The sequence below is a fragment of the Homo sapiens genome, chromosome 12 (assembly GCF_000001405.40).
Source record: "Homo sapiens chromosome 12, GRCh38.p14 Primary Assembly".
Lineage (NCBI taxonomy): Eukaryota > Metazoa > Chordata > Mammalia > Primates > Hominidae > Homo > Homo sapiens.
The window spans coordinates 68328696-68347015 of record NC_000012.12 but is presented as its reverse complement, the minus strand read 5'-3'; the positions used below and the strand labels follow the sequence as shown (position 1 = coordinate 68347015).

The window sequence follows — 18320 nt, the reverse complement described above, 5'->3', positions numbered from 1 at the left end:
GAAGTTCTAGAAAGTGCTCTCTAGCTGAAGGATTCTGCACTTGATGGGAATGGAAACTGGGAATACTGAACATTTCTGAGTGAAGAGAAGAACATTGTTTGGGATCTAAAGAAGATTTCCATTATTGGGGCTGAAGAGCTGAGTCCACGGAGACTCACAAAGAGGCTGTAGCCCTGGCTGCCTTGGTGTGGGGAGCTGGGGCTGTACTGAGGCATAGCAGAGGGCGAAAGAGGAAAGCAAAAGATTTAAGTGACACATCAAAGAAAAAATTAGTAAGAAAATTAGCAAGACCTGGCCAGGAACGGTGGCTCATGCCTGTAATCCCAGCACTTTGGGAGGCTGCGGTGGTTGGATCATGAGGTCAGGAGTTCGAGACCAGCCAGGCCAATGTGGTGAAACCCTGTCTCTACTAAAGACACAAAAAATTAGCTGGGCGTCGTGGTGCACACCTGTAATCCAAGCTACTCGGGAGGCTGAGGCAGGAGAATCGTGCCATTGCACCAGCCTGGGTGACAGGGTGAGACTCCATCTCAAAACAACAACAACAACAACAAAAAAGGAAAATTAGCAAGATCTGTCTGTTAACTGACTGAATAAAGAAATTGAAGTAAAAGGCAAGTCAGAGATTATTACAAATGTTCAATGATGTGGATCTGAGAAATAGAGACAACATGAAAAAACAGGAGGACAATTGATTAAAGGGAGAGAGAAACAAATGAGGAGTGTGGTGTTGTATAAATTGAGTTGGTAGTGAAAGTGTGATGTCCAATAATGATAACTAACCTTTATTATTTACTATGTGCCAGACACTGGGTGTTTTACACATGTAAATGTATTTTATCCTTTATTTTATCCTCAAGGAATCTGTTTGAGACAGATACTCTTATTATCCCCATTTTATGAAGAATGAGAAGTTAAAGATGACCCCAAGTTTATACAGTTAAATTGGGATTTAAACCCAAGCCATCTGAATTCAGTGCTTATTCTAGACCATCACTTTGCTTAACTACCTCTCAGGAAGTCCAAGCTCTGACAGGAAGTCAAGACTGAACATTACGGTTGAGAGTCATCAGTGCAGAGGTGTTCACTGCAGTTATGGGGATGGATGAGCTTTCTGAGGGAGGAAGCACGCAGATAGGACAGCAGGTGACCAAGGATGAATCCCAGGGGAGGCCTACAATGAGAAGTCAACACAGGGAAGGGTGCAGAGGCCCACCGAGTGTGAAGGAGACTGGAGAACAGCCCAAAGCCTTGGCCTTCAAAGGACTGGTTTGGTGATGGGTTTGAAGATGGAAGTCAGGGTTAAGAAGTGAAAGCTCAGGCTGGGCGTGGTGGCTCATGCCTATAATCCCAGCACTTTGGGAGGCCGAGGGGGGCAGATCACTTGAAGTCAGGAGTTCAAGACCAGCCTGGCCACATAGAGAAACCCTGTTTTCACTAAAAATAAAAAAAATTAGCCAGGCATGGTGGCATGTGCCTGTAATCTCAGCTACTCGGGAGGCTGAGGTGGGAGAATTGCTTGAACCTAGGAGGTGGAGGTTGCCGTGAGCTGAGTTAGCACCACTGCACTCCAGCCTGGGCAACAGAGTGAGACTCCGTCTCAATATTAAAAAAAAAAAAAAAAAAAAAAGTGAAAGCTCTATCCGTGATTGGAGGGAGAAGCGACAAAGTTTAGTCAGGGAAATGAAGGAGAAAGAGCAGAATGGCCAAATGAAGGGTTTGCTTGTCTTCCCTTTACCTCCCCTGCAACACACACAAAATAAGAGGGACCTATGCCCCAAGAATATAGAGGAAAGAGGGAGGATGTAATGTGGAAAAGGAAGGGTGTACATGTGAAAGAAAAAATCCTGCAGGCACCGTAAAAGGAGAGAATCAACAGCTTTTACTCTAGCTGTGAGGGGAGGACTACTGCATTGTCAATGTTGGAAATGAGCCTTAAAATAGGTCACTCGTGTGGCCCTTGAGATAGATACACTATATTGAGGAGGATAAACCTGAATATGCAATTTCTCCACCAATTTATTTATTTAGCAAAGAAATACATGTGGCATCTCCACTTGTCATTTAGGCATCTCAAAATCAATAAATCCAAAATAACCCTTAACTTCTCACCTTGCAACTAGTTCCTTTGTTTCCCCCTCCATCCTCCAAGTTGTTTAGGTTAAAAACTTTGGTTTCATCCTTAACTTTTATATTTCTCTCACGCGTAACATTTAATTAATCAGCAAGTCTTGTCTACTCTGCTTTAAGATCTATCAATAATAGGATCACTTCTTCACTGATACTACCTTACTCTTAGCCACTGGTAATATTTGCCTGGACTGGGAGGGTCTACCTGCTCCCATTCTTGTCCTGTTGCCATCTATTTTCTTCACAGATGCAAGGGTAAGTTTTTTAACAATGTGAATTGTATTGTGACACTATGATGTTCAGAACTTTGCAATGGATTTCCGTGTCTCGGAATAAAATCCAAAGTTCTAGCCACAGCCTCCAAGGTCATCACCTACAATTACCCCCAAAGCTTCCTCTGCTCCAGCCACATTAACTTTCTTGTTCTTGTCTCAGGGTTTTTGCATATGCTGTTCCTTATGCAACAGCATATGGAACAGATTCATTTATTCAACAAATGTTTGTTGAGTACCAAGTATGCTGCAGGTCGTTGGGATATGTCAGTAAACAAGGTGGACAAAGAACCTTGCCCTTGCTGGGCTTACATTCCTAGCATACTTGCATCTCTCACCCTCTTTGCTCAGATGTCACTTATCAGAGAGGTCTTTAACTGTACGCTTTCAAACAGTGATCCCTCCCCCACACCCCCTCATCACATATTCCTTTATGCAGGTTTATTTTACTTAATAATTTCTATCACCATCTGACACATGATATAATTCTTTCTTTCTTACCTGTCTCCCTCCAGTAGAATGCAAGCTCCATAGCAGGGACTTTCCTGTTTTAGTGTCTGCCATAGTTCTAGAACTGCATCTAGCACATAAAAGGTGCATTCACATATTTACAGAATGAATTAATGCATGTGCAGGGTGGGCACTTTTAATTTGGAAACTCATGTCAGCAATTCTGGGAAGATTTCTTGCATTGTTTCTTCAGTAATTTTCTTCTCTACATTTTTTTTCTGGTTTTCTCTTTTTTTAAACAGAGGTGTTACGATGTCATATTCTGGGTCTTCCTGATGACTGTTGACTTTTATTGTCTTTTAATTGATTGTTTCTTTTTGTTCTAGTTTCCAAGAGATTTCCTCAGCTTTATTTTCTAACTCTTATACACCATTTAAAAATTCTCCTATAATGTTTTTAGTTTCTAAGAGTCCTTTTATGTTCTCTCATTGTTTCTATTACATTGTTATGATCATTTTATTTACAAGCTGGACTGAATAGGGGAAAGACTTTATTATTTCCCATTTCTCCCTGCTAAATCCCATTCCTGGATGCAATCTCATCTAGGTTCCAAATTTCTTCAGTTACTCCTAGTTAGGAAATAAAAAAATCCTTTGGTTACTTTTAGTCACAAGAACAGCCTCCTTTTCATGATTTTTAAAGTTTCTCATGAGCATAAAACTCTGATCTGGTTCCCTTTTCCCTTCTTCCTGTCTTCCTACCTTCCCAACCATGTGCCTGGTTAGGGCTTGGATATCCGTGTTTGGAGAGATGCGTAATTGACATTTCTACTTCTCTGCTTCTCCTTCTACTACTCTCTGCTTTCTAGATGCTATTTCTGACGTTTTCAGAGCTAGGCTCAGAAGAACAGAGGATTAATGAAAAAAGGCCTTTTGTGGCTTGTGCAGTTTGTAATCCGATGATTTCCTCTGAGGTGGCAGGTGCACAATTGCTGGCTCTTTCCCTTGAGGGATGTGTTTGGAGGCCTGCCCAGTGAGGACCTCTGACTGCAGCTCCCTTTTTGTGGGCAGGGCTGCACTTCAGGGACCACATTGATCTCACTCTCAACACCTGAACTTCTGGCAATCCACAGTTGGGTCACATTTCCCCTTCAGGGAATACTGTTAGGTAGGATTGAACATGACTCCAGGTTGGTCCTCTCCATCTGTCTAGCTTGGCCCATGAGAGTTCATACATTCTTGCCCTGTTATGCATATTGTTCCTAATGCACCCTCCTCTCTTCATTCTGCTGTTAAACCAACTCCAGCTGCAAACTTTCCCCATTGCATTTCCCCCAATTAGATAATAGCCACTCCATCTCACAAAGTCTAGGGAGCACATAGGAAGTTCTCCAAATAGTCCCCTTAAAGCTTTTTACATTCAATTTGAAGTTTAAGAATGCATACCCTTTCCTCCCTCCAAAAGTACATTCAGGGAAGCATTGTGTAGGGCACAGTACTTGGAAGAGACTGGAGAATTGAGGACTGTAGATATTAATTTTTCTTTGACCAGAGGAGGAAAAAGGACTTTCTAATAATGCAGCCCTGTAAGCTGCCTAACAGTTCACCTGCTACTGAGGGCAGCAGAAATGTCCCAGCTCTGGCCCCAGAGTAGGAATGCATCCCTGACATGTTGCTTTACTCCCAAGATCTATATCTCTTATCCACAATGTTCTAGGATAGTCAAAATATATGCCTCTGGTAGTCACAGAGACAGGGACATAATATTAGAAGAAATATTGTGACAATTAATAGTACTTATACAGATTTTGAAGGACTGTTAGAGAAGAGTTGTTAAGGTAGGATCATGAGCATCAGACCGACCTGGGTTTGACTTTTAGCTCTGTCACTGATTAGCATGTGACTTCAGGCAAGTTATTAAACATCTCAGAATTTTATCTGCCAAAAAATATTAACAGTAACACCTACATCCTACATAGTAGAGTTGTCCGTATGCCAGACAGCCTGTTGGTCACTCCACACCATCAGTGCCATGCCTGTCCAAGGCTGGGAACTACCTTTCCCAGAATCTCCATTCTTATATAATTCTGGGTTGGAAGTAGTCAATGAGACTTTGAGTTTGCGACTTGTGCAAGACTTGGTAGGCAGAAGTGATAGGAGACCATTGTTCTCAGGGTAAATCTTGCTGAGGTTTATCAGACAGGGTCACCAGATGTGGGAGTCCATAGTCCTTTCTATGAGCTCTCACTCTGTAGTGATGGCAGGATTCTCAGTCTTCACCCATCAGCTCCCTATCCATACTCCAGGCTTTAGGCTGAAGTCATCAGCAACTTTTTTTTCCAGTCTTTGGGCTGTGACTGTCTCGACTTTCACTACTTTACCTTCTCTCACATCTGGGCAAGCTTGCATTTCTATATGAAGCCCCTTATTCCTGTACAACCTATAGTGGCTCTGATTTCCCGACTGAAACATTATGGTACAGCATGGACAACCTAAAGACATGTAGCAAGGACTTAATCAATTGTAGCCAATACTAATAATAATCAGAAAAAGTATTGTTTAGAATAATTTGAGACTAAGAGATGACTGAAGTGAAACTATGTGAGTTCCATTGTTTAGGAACAGCAAAGATGAGGAAGGATACAAAAGGAGACATTCTTTATAGCCTAATGACAAGAACTGCTCCCATTTCTGTAACACTTTTCAATTCACAAAGTGTTTGCACATCGGCTGTCCCTATAGTTGCAGAGTTTAGCTTTCCAATCAATGAACTGATCACATGCTTTATGGCATGTACGGTTGTTACTGTGCTGCATGGTAATTAGGCATAAGTGGTAGTAGCTGGTTTATAAATGACTGCAATTGGAATTAATTTTAGGGAGCCAATTTTTTTTTGGGTCACAAATACGGACAATTTCCCTTTATATGGTGTTTTATAGTCTCATAGATAAAAAGACAAGTCTGCATAGCTCCTCAAATCCAGTTCCTTTTTTCTTGCTCTCTTCTAGGGCTGGGGTTTCTCTATACCCAATTCCCATCCTTCCTTTGGCTATGGACGTCATAAGCAGATGTCCTGTTGGTTCCTGGATCTGGCTTTCCTCATTGTTTCAATGGCACCAACGTTACCAGAATGTCTGGAAGCACAGGACTGTGGATGATCCGCCCCAGGAGCAAAACATAACCACTTTGCCACAAAGCAAGGAAGGGGAGACCAGTCTAGGGAAGGGAAAGGAGGAGATGCAGATCCAGTGTTTTGTCTCTGAGAGTTTTGAACCAGAAGTAGGCTGGAAAGCTTATGAAAAAGATAAAGGATTCTTTTTAGGATTCTGGCAGTAGGAGGAGTCAGTTCTTTGCTAAGGCAGGAACCGGACAGGATGTGGCAATGTTCCATCTGGGACTCTACACTGTGGCAAAAGGAACTCATGCTGACAGGTACTCTTCTTCACTCCTGAAGGTTTGAAGACTAAGAGTCTAACAGCTGCATTGAAACTAGCTCCCAATAGGACCAGAGTTTTTTTGTGTGTGTAAGCCTTCAAGTATGTGCTGCTTGTGAGGTACACTGACTGCTTAAACAGTAACGTGCTTTCAGTGATGCACTGTCCATATTCCACTTCAAAGAAGGATGTGTTGCTGCTCCTACTCGGAGTGCTTTCTGCTGTCAGCCCCTTTAGAGGTTACCTCCACGGCAGACAGCCACCTTTTCCAAGGTTACAGCCTTCCTAAGGAGGCTCATTTTGGCCCAAGGCAGGACACCTCTGACAAATCATTTTAGTTCATGATTTCTCATGGGGTTGGCTGAGGCTGTCAGGCCTGCCTTGCAGCTTCACTTCTTCTTCTACCCAGTTCTACTCTGTTGCCCTCCCTTCCACAGGTGTTGATCTCAGGAACACTCACTAATAGACATTCAGCACGTTAAACTTCATCTCCGAGTCTGCTTTCCAGAGAACCCCATCTGCAACAGACTACTCTCCATAACTTCAATATTTGTTAATATTTCTATTTTACAGTTGTCCCCTCTGCCATTCTCTTTGACCTCACTGGTTTATACCTGTTATACCTGTTTTATTCATTTACTATCATTTCATGAAGTTTTTTCTTTCTTTTTGAGACGGTGTCTCGCTCTGTCGCCCAGGCTGGAGTGCAGTGGCATGATCTCGGCCCACTGCAGGCTCTGCCCCCCGGATTCACGCCATTCTCCTGCCTCAGCCTCCCAAGTAGCTGGGACTACAGGCGCCCGCGACCTCGCCTGGCTAATTTTTTTGTATTTTTAGCAGAGACAGGGTTTCGCCGTGTTAGCCAGGATGGTCTCGATCTCCTGACCTCGTGATCCGCCCACCTCGGCCTCCCAAAGTGCTGGGATTACAGGCATGAGCCACCGCGCCTGGCCCATTTCATGAAGTTTTAAGAGGAAATTGAGATGAATGCATGTGTTTGCCCTGGCATTCAGTTACTGTCATTTTACAGAGTTTTAAGAGGGACATCAAGCATGCACACATATGTCTGAACTGGCATTGTATCGGTCAGAGTTAAATTTCAGATAATATAATTTATTCTAGCTTTTCAAAACAGAAAGGGTATTTTCAGGGTATTCAGTAGTGAGGAAGACTAGTATTGCAATACTAGTCTACCAGTTCTTCATTCTTCCTTTACAACGAACGTGACTCTGCCACTCCTTCCGTGAAGGGGTTGAGTCTATTTCCCTAGCCCTTGAATCTGGGATGGCCTTTTAATCTGCTTTGGCTAACAAAATATGGTAGAGGTGATGGTATGCTGTTTCGAAGCCAAGTCCTCAAGAGGCTTCACATACTTTGGAATCCTCCGTACTTTGGATTCCTTTTGGAATCTTTCCTTTTCCATGAAAACAATCCAGGCTATCCTGCTAGAAGATGAGAGCCCAAGTGGAACGATGAGGAGTTGTCCTAGCTGAAGCCATCTGAGACCAGCCAATTTCTAGCTAACCCATCAGCTGGCCACAAATCCACAAGCAGGCTTAGTGGGATTAGCTAAGCTCAACCTACATCAGCAGAACTGGCCAACTGACCCAGAGATTCATAAGCAATAATAAATGGTTATTATTTTAAGTTGCTGCATTTGAGAGTGTTTGTTATGCAGCATTATTGTGGCAACCGACGATTGATACAAGTGGCTTAAAGAATCATTATGAGAGCTGAAGAAGTAGACTCTAGGGCCACATCACAGAACAGACTCACTAAAGGAGCCTACAGTCAGGAAGTCGTGGAACCAAGAATCTGCCTGCTAAGTTGAGACACCTTTGCTACAAGCTCCGACTTCACCTCTGCTATGACCAGGAAGCTGCTGGTAGAGCTGCCAACTCCAGAACTACGCTGCTGTTGCTGCTACTGTCATGATTTACAGCAATGCAAACCTGTGCTCTGCTTTTTTCCCATCTAACTCAGTTTATGCAAGTGCTTCTGATCAGCAGAATGTAAATTATACCCACACTTCAGTTGCAAAGGGGTCTAAGGTCAAAGGGGTTTTTAGTTTTCCAGCTTCTGCAGTAGGAGAAGGAGGTTGGCATGAATTTGGAATGAGTCAGTCTCAGCATCACCACAGCATGATTAACTAAAATACATACGATTCCTGAAACTTATTCCATAGATAGTGCTCAATGATACTAAAACAACATATTTATATATTCAGTGTTTTACATTTGGACATATCATGCTACACTGTCAACCATCATTCATTCAATTAATAGAAGTTGAGAGGTTGAAGGATGAATTGAATAACACGATACTAAGATTTTATACTAATTGCTCCAGCAAAATACATGTAAAAATCTTTTTTTTTTTTTGAGATGGAGTCTCGCTCTGTTGCCCAGGCTGGAGTGCAGTGGTGCGATCTCAGCTCACTGCAATCTCCACCTCCCGGGTTTAAGCAATTCTCCTGCCTCAGCCTCCTGAGTAGCTGGGATTATGGGTGTGCGCCACCACACCCGGAAAATTTTTGTATTTTTAGTAGAGACGGGGTTTCATCTTGTTGGCCAGGCTGGTCTCGAACTCCTGACCTTGTGATCCGCCTGCTTTGGCCTCCCAAAGTGCTGGGATGACAGGCATGAGCCACCGTGCCAGGCCTTAAGAGATAAAAATCTCTTAAGGGAGTCAACAATTATAAGCCACAAAGGAGAGGAAACTGACTTTATGTTCTGAAAAATTTTTGGTCCCTTATTGATACTTCAGATACCATTATCAGTAGAAAGACTGGCGATTTCAGAAAGAATAATAGTAGCAATCTGGACTTAATCTGCAGTTATTTTATTTATTTATTTATTTATTCGAGATGGAGTCTCGCTCTGTCACCCAGGCTGGAGTACAGTGGTGCAATCTCGGCACACTGCAATCTCTGCCTCCTGGGTTCAAGCGGTTCTTCTGCCTCAGCCTCCCGAGTAGCTGAAACTTACAGGCGTGTGCCACCATGCCCGGCTAATTTTTGTATTTTTAGTACAGAAGGGGTTTCACCAAATTGGCCAGGCTGGTCTCAAACTCCTGACCTCATGATCCGCCCGCCTCAGCCTCCCAAAGTGCTGGGATTACAGGTGCATGTACATTACCCGTGATAAAAGAAATATTTCAAAATTTATTTTGGCATAAAGGTAGAGATTTACAAGATTCTTAGAAAGGCTGATCTGACCTTAAGACACAGAATCCGATTTGATGAGATGAGAGAATTCATGCTTTCAAATCAGCAATTAGCAATTCTGGAAAATATCTGCGTCCCTGTGAGGACTTTTCAAAGAGATGGTGATTTAGGACAATAAATAATCAATGAAGAAAAGGAAAGGGAATTCTTAGAACAGAATCATACAGTGAAGGTATTAAAATGAAAGAAATTTTGTGCCCCAAATGTATTCCCTGGACCTTGTGCAGCTGCAGTACAACATTATTATTATGGTATGTGAGGCTTGCCAGTGGTTTATGCCTTACTGAGAATTACTTTACTCAGCCGTGGCCTTGTATGGTGAGGAGTCCTTTCGGCTCACCAAAAAGAGAGAAAAAAAAAAAGTCCTGTTGTCAAGAGAACCTGGAGTCCCTCCAAAAGGTGCCCCACTGATTCAAAAGCCAGACACTCCCTTGTCAACAAAGGCATCTCACGGCTAAAAGTCTGGAGGGCAAATTGCACTTGGCTCATTGCTAAGTCTTAATCATAGAACCTATTTATTCGATTCTTACTGACATTAATGTGAAGTATCAGCAATTTTGCTTCTCAGACAGAATCCATGGATTTAATTGTCATTTTTTTTAGTTGTGCAATCAGAAATTCATTCATAGGAGGAAAAATCAGCTAATACCTATGGAAAAATGCAAAAGAAAGCGGTTGTCAGACTGATTGCTTTTTGGCAAAGGCTGAGCTCAAGATTTACCAATGAAAGCCCAATTAAATGTGACCTGAGAGAATGTTAACAGAGCTAAAGAGCATTACTAAGCCCAAAGACTGGCATTTCAGTTACCTTGTAAGGTATTTCAGAGAAAATTACATATATGTAAACACAAGGCTGTGTATCACTATATTGATAAAATAGTAGTTTCTAAAACAGCTTTACTGATTTCCGAAGCAACAAGAAAAAAAAAGACAACAGAAAGCAAGTAATTCACCTTTTTGGGAACCGATCTTCAGCAATGTTAGTTGAAACTTCTCAAGGAACATCTGGCTTGGATTCAGCTACCCAGGGCAGAACAAAAAAAGTGAAAGGTCTCTAGATCAGGTGTTTCCCAGGATGGAATTTAAATTCAGCTCCTTTATCCTGCCTGCTCTTTAATAGTCTATCTTAGATCAAACTTTCTGGCTCCAGGTTTAAAAGCATCTTTAGAATACCAAGGTGCTCACATTTAGCCCCTTTCTCACTTTCTCCTTTCTTTTTATTTTCTGTGTTCTTTGTGTACTTATTGATCCCCCATTAGAAGATTATAATTATATTTGAAGACAGGGGCTATGTCTTATTCATCTTTGTACCTCCCTTCTTCAACCCTCGTCTGATGTGTTTGCTCATATACACTTTTCTTTTGTTAAATAAAAATAAATATAGTTAGAGGCAAATACAAATTCTTCACTGTTTCAACTGCTACTGAGAAAATGATAGGAGATTATTAATTTGTGAAGTGGTCAACTTCCTTTTTTAATAGAATGAGTAGTAGATGAGAATATTTTATATTTCAAGTGCAAATAAAATTTGCCTCAAAGGATTTTGATATGTTTTTGTCTCTAAAAGGAGCAACAGCCTTATCGTGAGGTATATGTCAAGATAAATCTAGAAAGGGCCAATGGAGTTATTTTATTTAAGGAAAATAGCCTCAGTGGTAACTATCAATAACTTAAAGTTTCCATATCTTACCAGTAAACTGAATAAAATGCTCTTTTCTTTATAGCTGCCGCTAATGGAGTTGGACTCATGAGTGAGGGAGAAAGTGCCTGTGAATGACATCATTATGCGACATCATAGGACAGTTTTTTTTTTCTTTTATTCACTCGTCTTTCTTTTATTTCAACTGATGGTATACCATAAACAGTCTTCTAAGCCTTGCTTCTTTTCTTTGAGAGTCTTCTATGTTAGCTCATAAAGAGGTGCTTCTTGCTTGTTAGGGGTTGTATGGAAGTGTGCAAGTTAATAAGCTGTTGCATGTCAGTTCCAGTCTCACCCTTCAGACTGTGCAAATCACATGGCCAGCTCCCTGTTATGTTTGCCAAGAAAGGAAGCTAGGGAAAGACTGGGATGCTCTGTTTTGTTTGCTGTTCCTCCCCGCAGCACCTGAACAGTGATCTTCTACCCCACAGTGGCAGTTCATTGCAGTCTCCAGCTTGTCTCTTTTCCAGACGTTCCCAGAGAGTCTCATTTTGTCCCCTCAGAGGCACCCCACCAGTGGGGCAGTGGCCCTTTCTCAGCGGTCTGACCAACTCCAGGAGGCCTCTCCTACAAACCTCCGCATTCTAGTAACCTCAACATTTTCCTTTTGTTCTCTCAGCCTTACAGTATGAGCTGCTTCCTGGAGTTCCTCTTCTTTATCCTTTTGGCTTTAAGTTCTTCAATAGCTAATGAACCAATAGCTTATATTAAGTTCTCTTTGTTGAAATGCCTTGTGTAGGGTCTGTTTTCCTAGCTGGACCTAACATATCCATGCAGGATCAGAAGGCCCAAAGGAGCAGAACAACCTGCGCTACTCTTTGAATTTGGATGAACCGTAATGTATTTGACTAGTTCTCTCTAAATGGACATTTAGGTAGTTTTCAACCTTTTGTAACTAGAAACAGTACATTAAACAACTTTAAATGAATATTTTTTTTCACATATGTGTGAGTCTATCTGTAAGATAAATTTATAGAAGAGGAACTCCTGGATCAAATTGCCAAAATGCCCTTCATATAGGTTGTGCAAATTCAGTCTCTCACGAGCAATAGACAGAAATCTATTCCTATGAGAAATAGAGAAATCAACAAAGGGAAGAGTGAGCCAGGTGTGATACCACTGTCCCAGTAAGAGGGCCTTAGCTAGTGGAAGAGAGAAGCATAGCATGAGATCTGTCACTTGAGGAATTACTTTTTGGCTTAGACTCCACGGACTTCATTTTGAGCCCTTTGGCGATGAGAAAGGCTAAAACACAAATGAAAAGAAGGCTCTCTAAGACATAGTGTTACTCACTTCAAAGAGGGTAACGCAAAAAGGAGAGGTGCTTTGCCATAGATTACCACCAATGCCAGGCAGTTTGAGGAGTGGCTGTACCCAGTTGCTGTGCCCAGTGAAGACTCAGTACCAAGCTAAAGTGGCTGTGATAGCCAGCAGCAAGAGTGACACCTACAGATGCATGGCTATTGGAACAAGGGGCAGTGCTGCCCGGCATACGCTATGTGGTTGCTGCGAGCACATGTGAAATACCTCCTAGGGACTCCCCAAAACATGGGTGGAGCTTTGTAGGGTACTGGGTACTGTTTCCTGCAGTAGCAGAGAAGATAAGAGCTGGTAAAACACAGGCTACAAAACTCATTTACTAAGGTAGTCACTTTTTTTTTTCCCATTCCTATATCTTTGCCTCTTAAACTTGGGTAGGCTTTTGTTTAACAATAGCAAAGTAAAATCTTCTTCCTTAAGTCTTTATGATACTTCTCTAGCAAGCCTGGGATGTGACTGAGTTATTTTTACAATCTGCTGTTTGGTTTTCCTGTCATTTACTCCCTGCTCAGCAGAGCTCTTCTGCAGTGATCATTGCGCTTGTTTAGCAGGCAGGCTACATTCTACACACTTGCTTTTGCTGATCTCACCTTAGCATTTTGTGGTAACAAAGCTGTGTGCACAACCAAAGTTGTGCCTTTCTTACTCTGTAAGATGGGCTGCCTTCCTGCAGATGACTTTTGTTCTATGTTCCACTGTGTCTTGTTTGTGCCATTCTTAATTTACACGACAGAGATGCTGTCATCACCAATTAACATTAATCAAGGGCCCCCTGGATGCATGGCTGCATTGGGACTAATTTAATATGCTCTTTGTTCCAGATATCAGGTGGCTTCTTCAAATGATTTTTAAGTATCTCGATGATGATGAAGAACAAAGACATCAATCAGGATTCAGGAAGACAGCTTTTGCGGAAAATGCTTAAAGGGAAGCATCAAGGATTGGTGTTGATATTTGAAAGTTTAAGAGTGGTATACTTTTATTCAGTCAACACATGACAAATGTAAAAGGCACTCATTTGTTGTTCCTGGAAGAAGCCTGGCAGCATTCCATTCAGACATCTGCCCTTTCATCGTCCCACTTTTTACTTATTGCAGTCCTTTCAGTCTGAATATTTCCTCCTGACGCATCTTCTGCCGTCCGAAATGACTCCCTGCTCCCAGATCCTGTAGCCCTTATTATTGACACCTTTCATTTAGAAATTTAGCACATGTCACATTACACCATTATTGAATAAATAATGAATAAATAAATAAATAAAGATGTATGTCCTTCCCAAGTATATCAGAGAACTATCTGGACAATTTCTTTCTTTCCCAATTCTCAGAATCAGCAGTATTCTGTCAAGAAACATTTATCGACGATGATGGCAATAGTCGATTAAAATCAGATGAAGTTTTATTTTTAAAAAAAGGTTGAGCGGAGAGACAAGGCTGAAGGTTTGGAAGTTGAGACAACCATCTTCAATAAACGTTTTCTCATCTAAGGGCTGTATGTACATCATTTTGGGGAAGGTAGAGATTGAAGGAGGAAGAACATCACTGGAGGAAGAGACAGCAGTTTGTCTTTCGAGTTTCAATAAAGTTTCAAAAATCTTGCCTAAGTTATATATTTTTTTGGCCTTTCCCTTTTGATGTGACAATAAACTGTAATGCGGCTGTCGTTTGTACGAACCGATATTCAGCAGAATAAATCTGAGCACTTTCAGAAAAAGAAGCGTTCGGTTTTCTCATAGATGTTAGCATGAAGAACACACTTTGACCTTTGATGCTGTCAAGCACCTGGGCCAGCGAGGCTGGCGGCTGGCGAATTCCACCAGCAAGCAGACGCATTGCTGCGCAGGACCCGGCGAACCAGGGACCGGTCCACCCAACCCAGGAAGGCACCCCCGGGGTCCCGCCCAGCCCGGTTCCGGGAGCCTTATTGGCCGGCCTTCCGCCCGCCATCTCTATCAGCCCCAGGGATTTGGCAAGGGAGGTAGGCGGCTCCCTTTCGGCCACTCATTGGTCAAATCCTAATGGAGGTAAGGCACTCTGCGAGTCTCTATTGGTCCCTAGGCTCCAAAAAGGGCGGGGAAAAACAGACCGACAGGCCTCTAGGCGGGAAGCGCGGAGTGCGCCGGCGCGTAGTCGGGGACGCCGGGCCGAGGCTTTGCTAGGGAACACTGTTATCGCCCCGCCCCCTCGGAGCTTTTTCTCCAGTTAACTGTCGGAGTAGCGGGGGCTCCGGCGCCGGGCGACATGCCGGTGCGCTTCAAGGTGAGGCTGGGGTCCCCGGGCCGGAATGTGGCTGGGGGGAGCCATGGCCGGGGAGGTGTGGAGCGCCGAGGTCACGCTGCTTTTCTGCGCTGCAGCCCTCTGCCCGGCGGAAGCTGCCAGCCCCAGGGCCTGCTCGAGGGGCCCCAGAATCTGCCCGCCGCCTCTTAACCTAGTTCCCTCTCCGCTCACTCACATTTGCAAGCTGCAGTGTGTCGAAGAGTCAGATGGTGCGAGACACATTTACTTAGGGGGACTCAAGAGGAGTGGAGATGGGAGGAGGTCCCTTTGCGAAGAGAACTAAAGGCGACTTCAGATTGGGACACCTGTGGCCCATTTAGCTTAGCATTTAACCCCCATTACCTTTAAAACTTTAGTGTATGTGGCTTTTAAAGGCTTGAGAAATGGGTTCTTAGTAAAGACAGCGTATAAAGAAATACACGTTTTTCATCGTTGTGCATTCTTAGCGTATGTTAAAAGTTCCAGGTAGCTGGTAGCTGTCAGGGACTAGCACCCTGCAACTTCACAGGTGGCCACAGCGTCCCACATCTCCTGACTCATTTATCTTAAAGGCGTGTATTCAGAATGGAAGGGGAGTTTGCCTTTTGTTGACTTTATCAAATAGCAAAAGGTCCTAGGCATGGTACATAATATTGTGTACTCGGTGAAAACCTGCGATAAATCTAGAATGATGAGAATTTAGATTGTCATTAGTTATCCGACAAGAACTCATGCTTTGGAATCAGATAATCAGTGAAAGGGTAACCTCTGAGCCTGGAATTCCTGGTAGCATCTGCCTCAAGTGGTGTTGTGGATTAAAGGATATAACACGTGTGAACTGCTTAGCACAGGGCTGGGTGAATATTAGCTCTTATTAAGGAGCTCGTCTGTGTTTAATTTTCAGTCTTAAGTCTCTTTTGGGAGGTTCAGAAATTATTTTTCACCGATGTCTGCTTTAAAACATCATTCATTAATTGGACTGTACTCAAAAGTGTACTTTGCATTACAGGGGCTGAGTGAATACCAGAGGAACTTCCTGTGGAAAAAGTCTTATTTGTCCGAGTCTTGTAATTCCTCCGTGGGGCGAAAGTACCCATGGGCTGGACTTAGATCAGATCAATTAGGTAAGTTGAGCAGGCTAATAGCCATTCTAACCTGGGCTAAGTTTATAACTTGGGCCAAGCCGTTATAACTTGGGCTAAGTAAACCTTGGGCTAAGTTTACCAAATGATATATTAAAAGTTCAGTTGGCCTGGTTGATTTATTCATTTATTAATCAAGTATTTATTGAAGGTTTACTATGAGCCAGGACTATTCCCAGCAGCTAGTGTGGCAGGCCAGGTTTCACTAATGGAGGCCTCCATCACAACTGTTTCGGTACTGACTGAGCGGTTAAGTTAAATATTGAAAGCTAAAAAAAGCCAGTGCCCTTACACAAAGGCTGGGATGTCACAAAAGCCCATCAAGAGTATTGCCTAGGCCTTTCCTGGGCCATAAAGCATGACAAAATAAGGAATTCTTAACAGGATCCGTTTAGGATTAAACAAGTTTTACTGGGGGTCTGAAGAAACTCCCCAGGCCTCCACAAATTTATTGGCGGTCTGAAGGAACTCCTCAAACCTCCATGATTCAGCAGGAGACAAGATAAGGGTAATCAGCCCAGCACCTAGACCCATTTAGATTAAGTAAATTTACTGATGCTCCAGAAGAAGGTCTTCAGGACTCAGACCTTAGTTATAGATTAAAAGAAGTTAATCACTTATATCCTTAGATGAATGCACACTTACACGTAGACATATAGCTTAGAAGGTATATAAGCTCTGAAAAACTTTGTAATTTGGGGTTCGTCTGGTGATAATTTGCAGGCCTTCTTCCCGTAACTGGTTATAGAAATAAAAACTCTCTTTCTCCCTAGTTTATCTGCATCTCGTTATTGGCCGAGAGAAATAGCAGCCTGACCCTCAGTTTGGTCTGGGAACACTAGGGATATAGCCCTGAACCAAAGTCCCTTAACTGTGGAGAGAAACAGTAAGCAAGTCACTCAATAATTAAGGGAATTTCAGGTTTTTATATAAAATTGTAGGGAAGTGTGATACATAACATGCGGGAGGAGTGGATTGGAGGGAAAATGCTTTAGATTAGATGGTTGGGAAAGGCTCTTTTTGAGGAGGTGATATTTGAGCTGAGACCTGAAAGCTGAGGGGACAATGCTGGGGAAGAGTGCTCCCAAGGTCTTGAGAAATGGAAGCTTAGGGAGATGAGGTCGCTGCCCCAGCTTTACAGCTAGTAAGTGGCAGAACCATGATTTGAAATCAAGTCTGTTTTGTGCAAAGCATGTAATTTCAGAGGTCATGTTCTTGTTATCACACATGCCTCCTCCCTGTGTCCCAGGGAAGGCAGAGTCCTGGGCCAGAGTTTCCCGGAGGGTGATAGAACAGAAGGGAGACAGACTGACCTCATTATACCTGCTTATTTAATTCTTCCTTACTAGTATATTAGATCTCTGAGAGTAGGGCTCTGTCTTATTCACCACCCAGTACCTAACACAGGCCTTGGAACATTCTATTGCTTCTTGAAACTATTTTTTGAATGAATGAATTAGCCTAAATTTGAATTATAATAGCTGTGTGATGTTGGGCAAATTGAGCTAGTTTCACCAAGTGAGATTTTAGGAAGTCTGTTGCATAGGATTACTGGGAGGGTTTAAATGAGATGTTGCCTATTAAGGGCCTGGTTTGAGTACACAGATCAGTGCTTAGTGTCCCACATGTGATGTGTGCGAGCATGGCATGTAAGTCACATAAATGTTAGATGTTTGAAGCCAGGAAAAGACTTATGGGTAGGGTACCAAGCCTGGAAAGTTAGTAAGACGACGAGGTATTTTCAGAATTTGGTCTAGAGAACAAAGGGAAGAGTGGGCAAGAGTGAGTGTCTCTTTTAGAGTTCCTCTGAAGCATCATGATCTGACCCAGCGGCAAACTTCAGAGACTGGGTGTCCCTGCTTCTCCGGCAGGGTGCTAGGAAAATCCCTCTGCTCATAATCCTCTTTTTACAAATGACCAGAAATTCCACATATTTGAACCTCCATTAGATTAAGAATCCAAATAAATCTCTGTTTAAGCATAGATATCCCACCCTGCTGAGCGCCTACAGGGCTATTATGACACTGGAAAATTCATTAAACTGGGTAGTTGTCCAATAACATTTCAGCTTAGATCAGCTGCATTTGAGGGGAAGGTGATGAAATGAGACCATGAGAGCAAAGCCACCTTAGAGCATGGTATATAATGAAGGAAGGAATGGACTAGGGGAGGAACGTTAGTGGGGAATTTTAGGTCATGGGGAGGGACTGAGCAAGAATTCCAGAATGCTCAGAATGGGAGGTGGGAGGTTAGCAAAAAACAACAGCAGTGTTACCGAGGATGGCTGTCCCTTCTTTTAGAGTAGTGTATTTTTACCCTGGGGATTTGCTGGTGCTGGGAGACAGCGGCAGACCACTTGAGAATCTTCTTTCATTTTGTGCTTCTACCAAAAA

The 18320-nt window shown here is 42.8% G+C and overlaps 1 protein-coding gene and 1 long non-coding RNA gene across 16 annotated transcripts in view, besides 2 other annotated features; one reads left to right on the top strand and one right to left on the bottom strand.

The window, feature by feature from the left end:
• Positions 1–9827: 9827 nt before the first annotated feature.
• On the bottom strand, positions 9828–14385 carry LOC105369819 (uncharacterized). Its single transcript, XR_945057.3, has 3 exons — positions 11202–14385; positions 10465–10531; positions 9828–10160 (listed from the first exon to the last, which is right to left on the bottom strand). It is a non-coding gene; the product is annotated as an uncharacterized LOC105369819 (long non-coding RNA).
• Positions 14454–14713: a silencer, noted in NCBI's record as "silent region_4646". NCBI's record gives its function as "represses an Ori minimal core promoter by ATAC-STARR-seq in GM12878 lymphoblastoid cells {active_cell/tissue: GM12878}" and the evidence as "EXISTENCE:reporter gene assay evidence [ECO:0000049][PMID:35858748]".
• The window catches only part of MDM1 (Mdm1 nuclear protein), a 37797-nt gene continuing 34130 nt past the window's right edge, over positions 14654–18320 (top strand). For 14 of the 15 annotated variants that reach the window (NM_001354974.2, XM_047429161.1, NM_001205028.3 and 11 more), the window contains exons 1-2: positions 14654–14788; positions 15795–15909. Coding sequence is in view for 10 of the 15 variants with exons in the window: in XM_047429161.1 (XP_047285117.1) it covers positions 14771–14788; positions 15795–15909 (133 nt within the window). In the remaining 5 variants the exon portion in view is untranslated. Of the gene's footprint in view, positions 15016–15794; positions 15910–18320 lie in introns of all 15 variants that reach the window. The other variant, NM_001354970.2, reaches the window with a different exon arrangement.
• Positions 15014–15103: an enhancer, noted in NCBI's record as "active region_6634". NCBI's record gives its function as "activates an Ori minimal core promoter by ATAC-STARR-seq in GM12878 lymphoblastoid cells {active_cell/tissue: GM12878}" and the evidence as "EXISTENCE:reporter gene assay evidence [ECO:0000049][PMID:35858748]".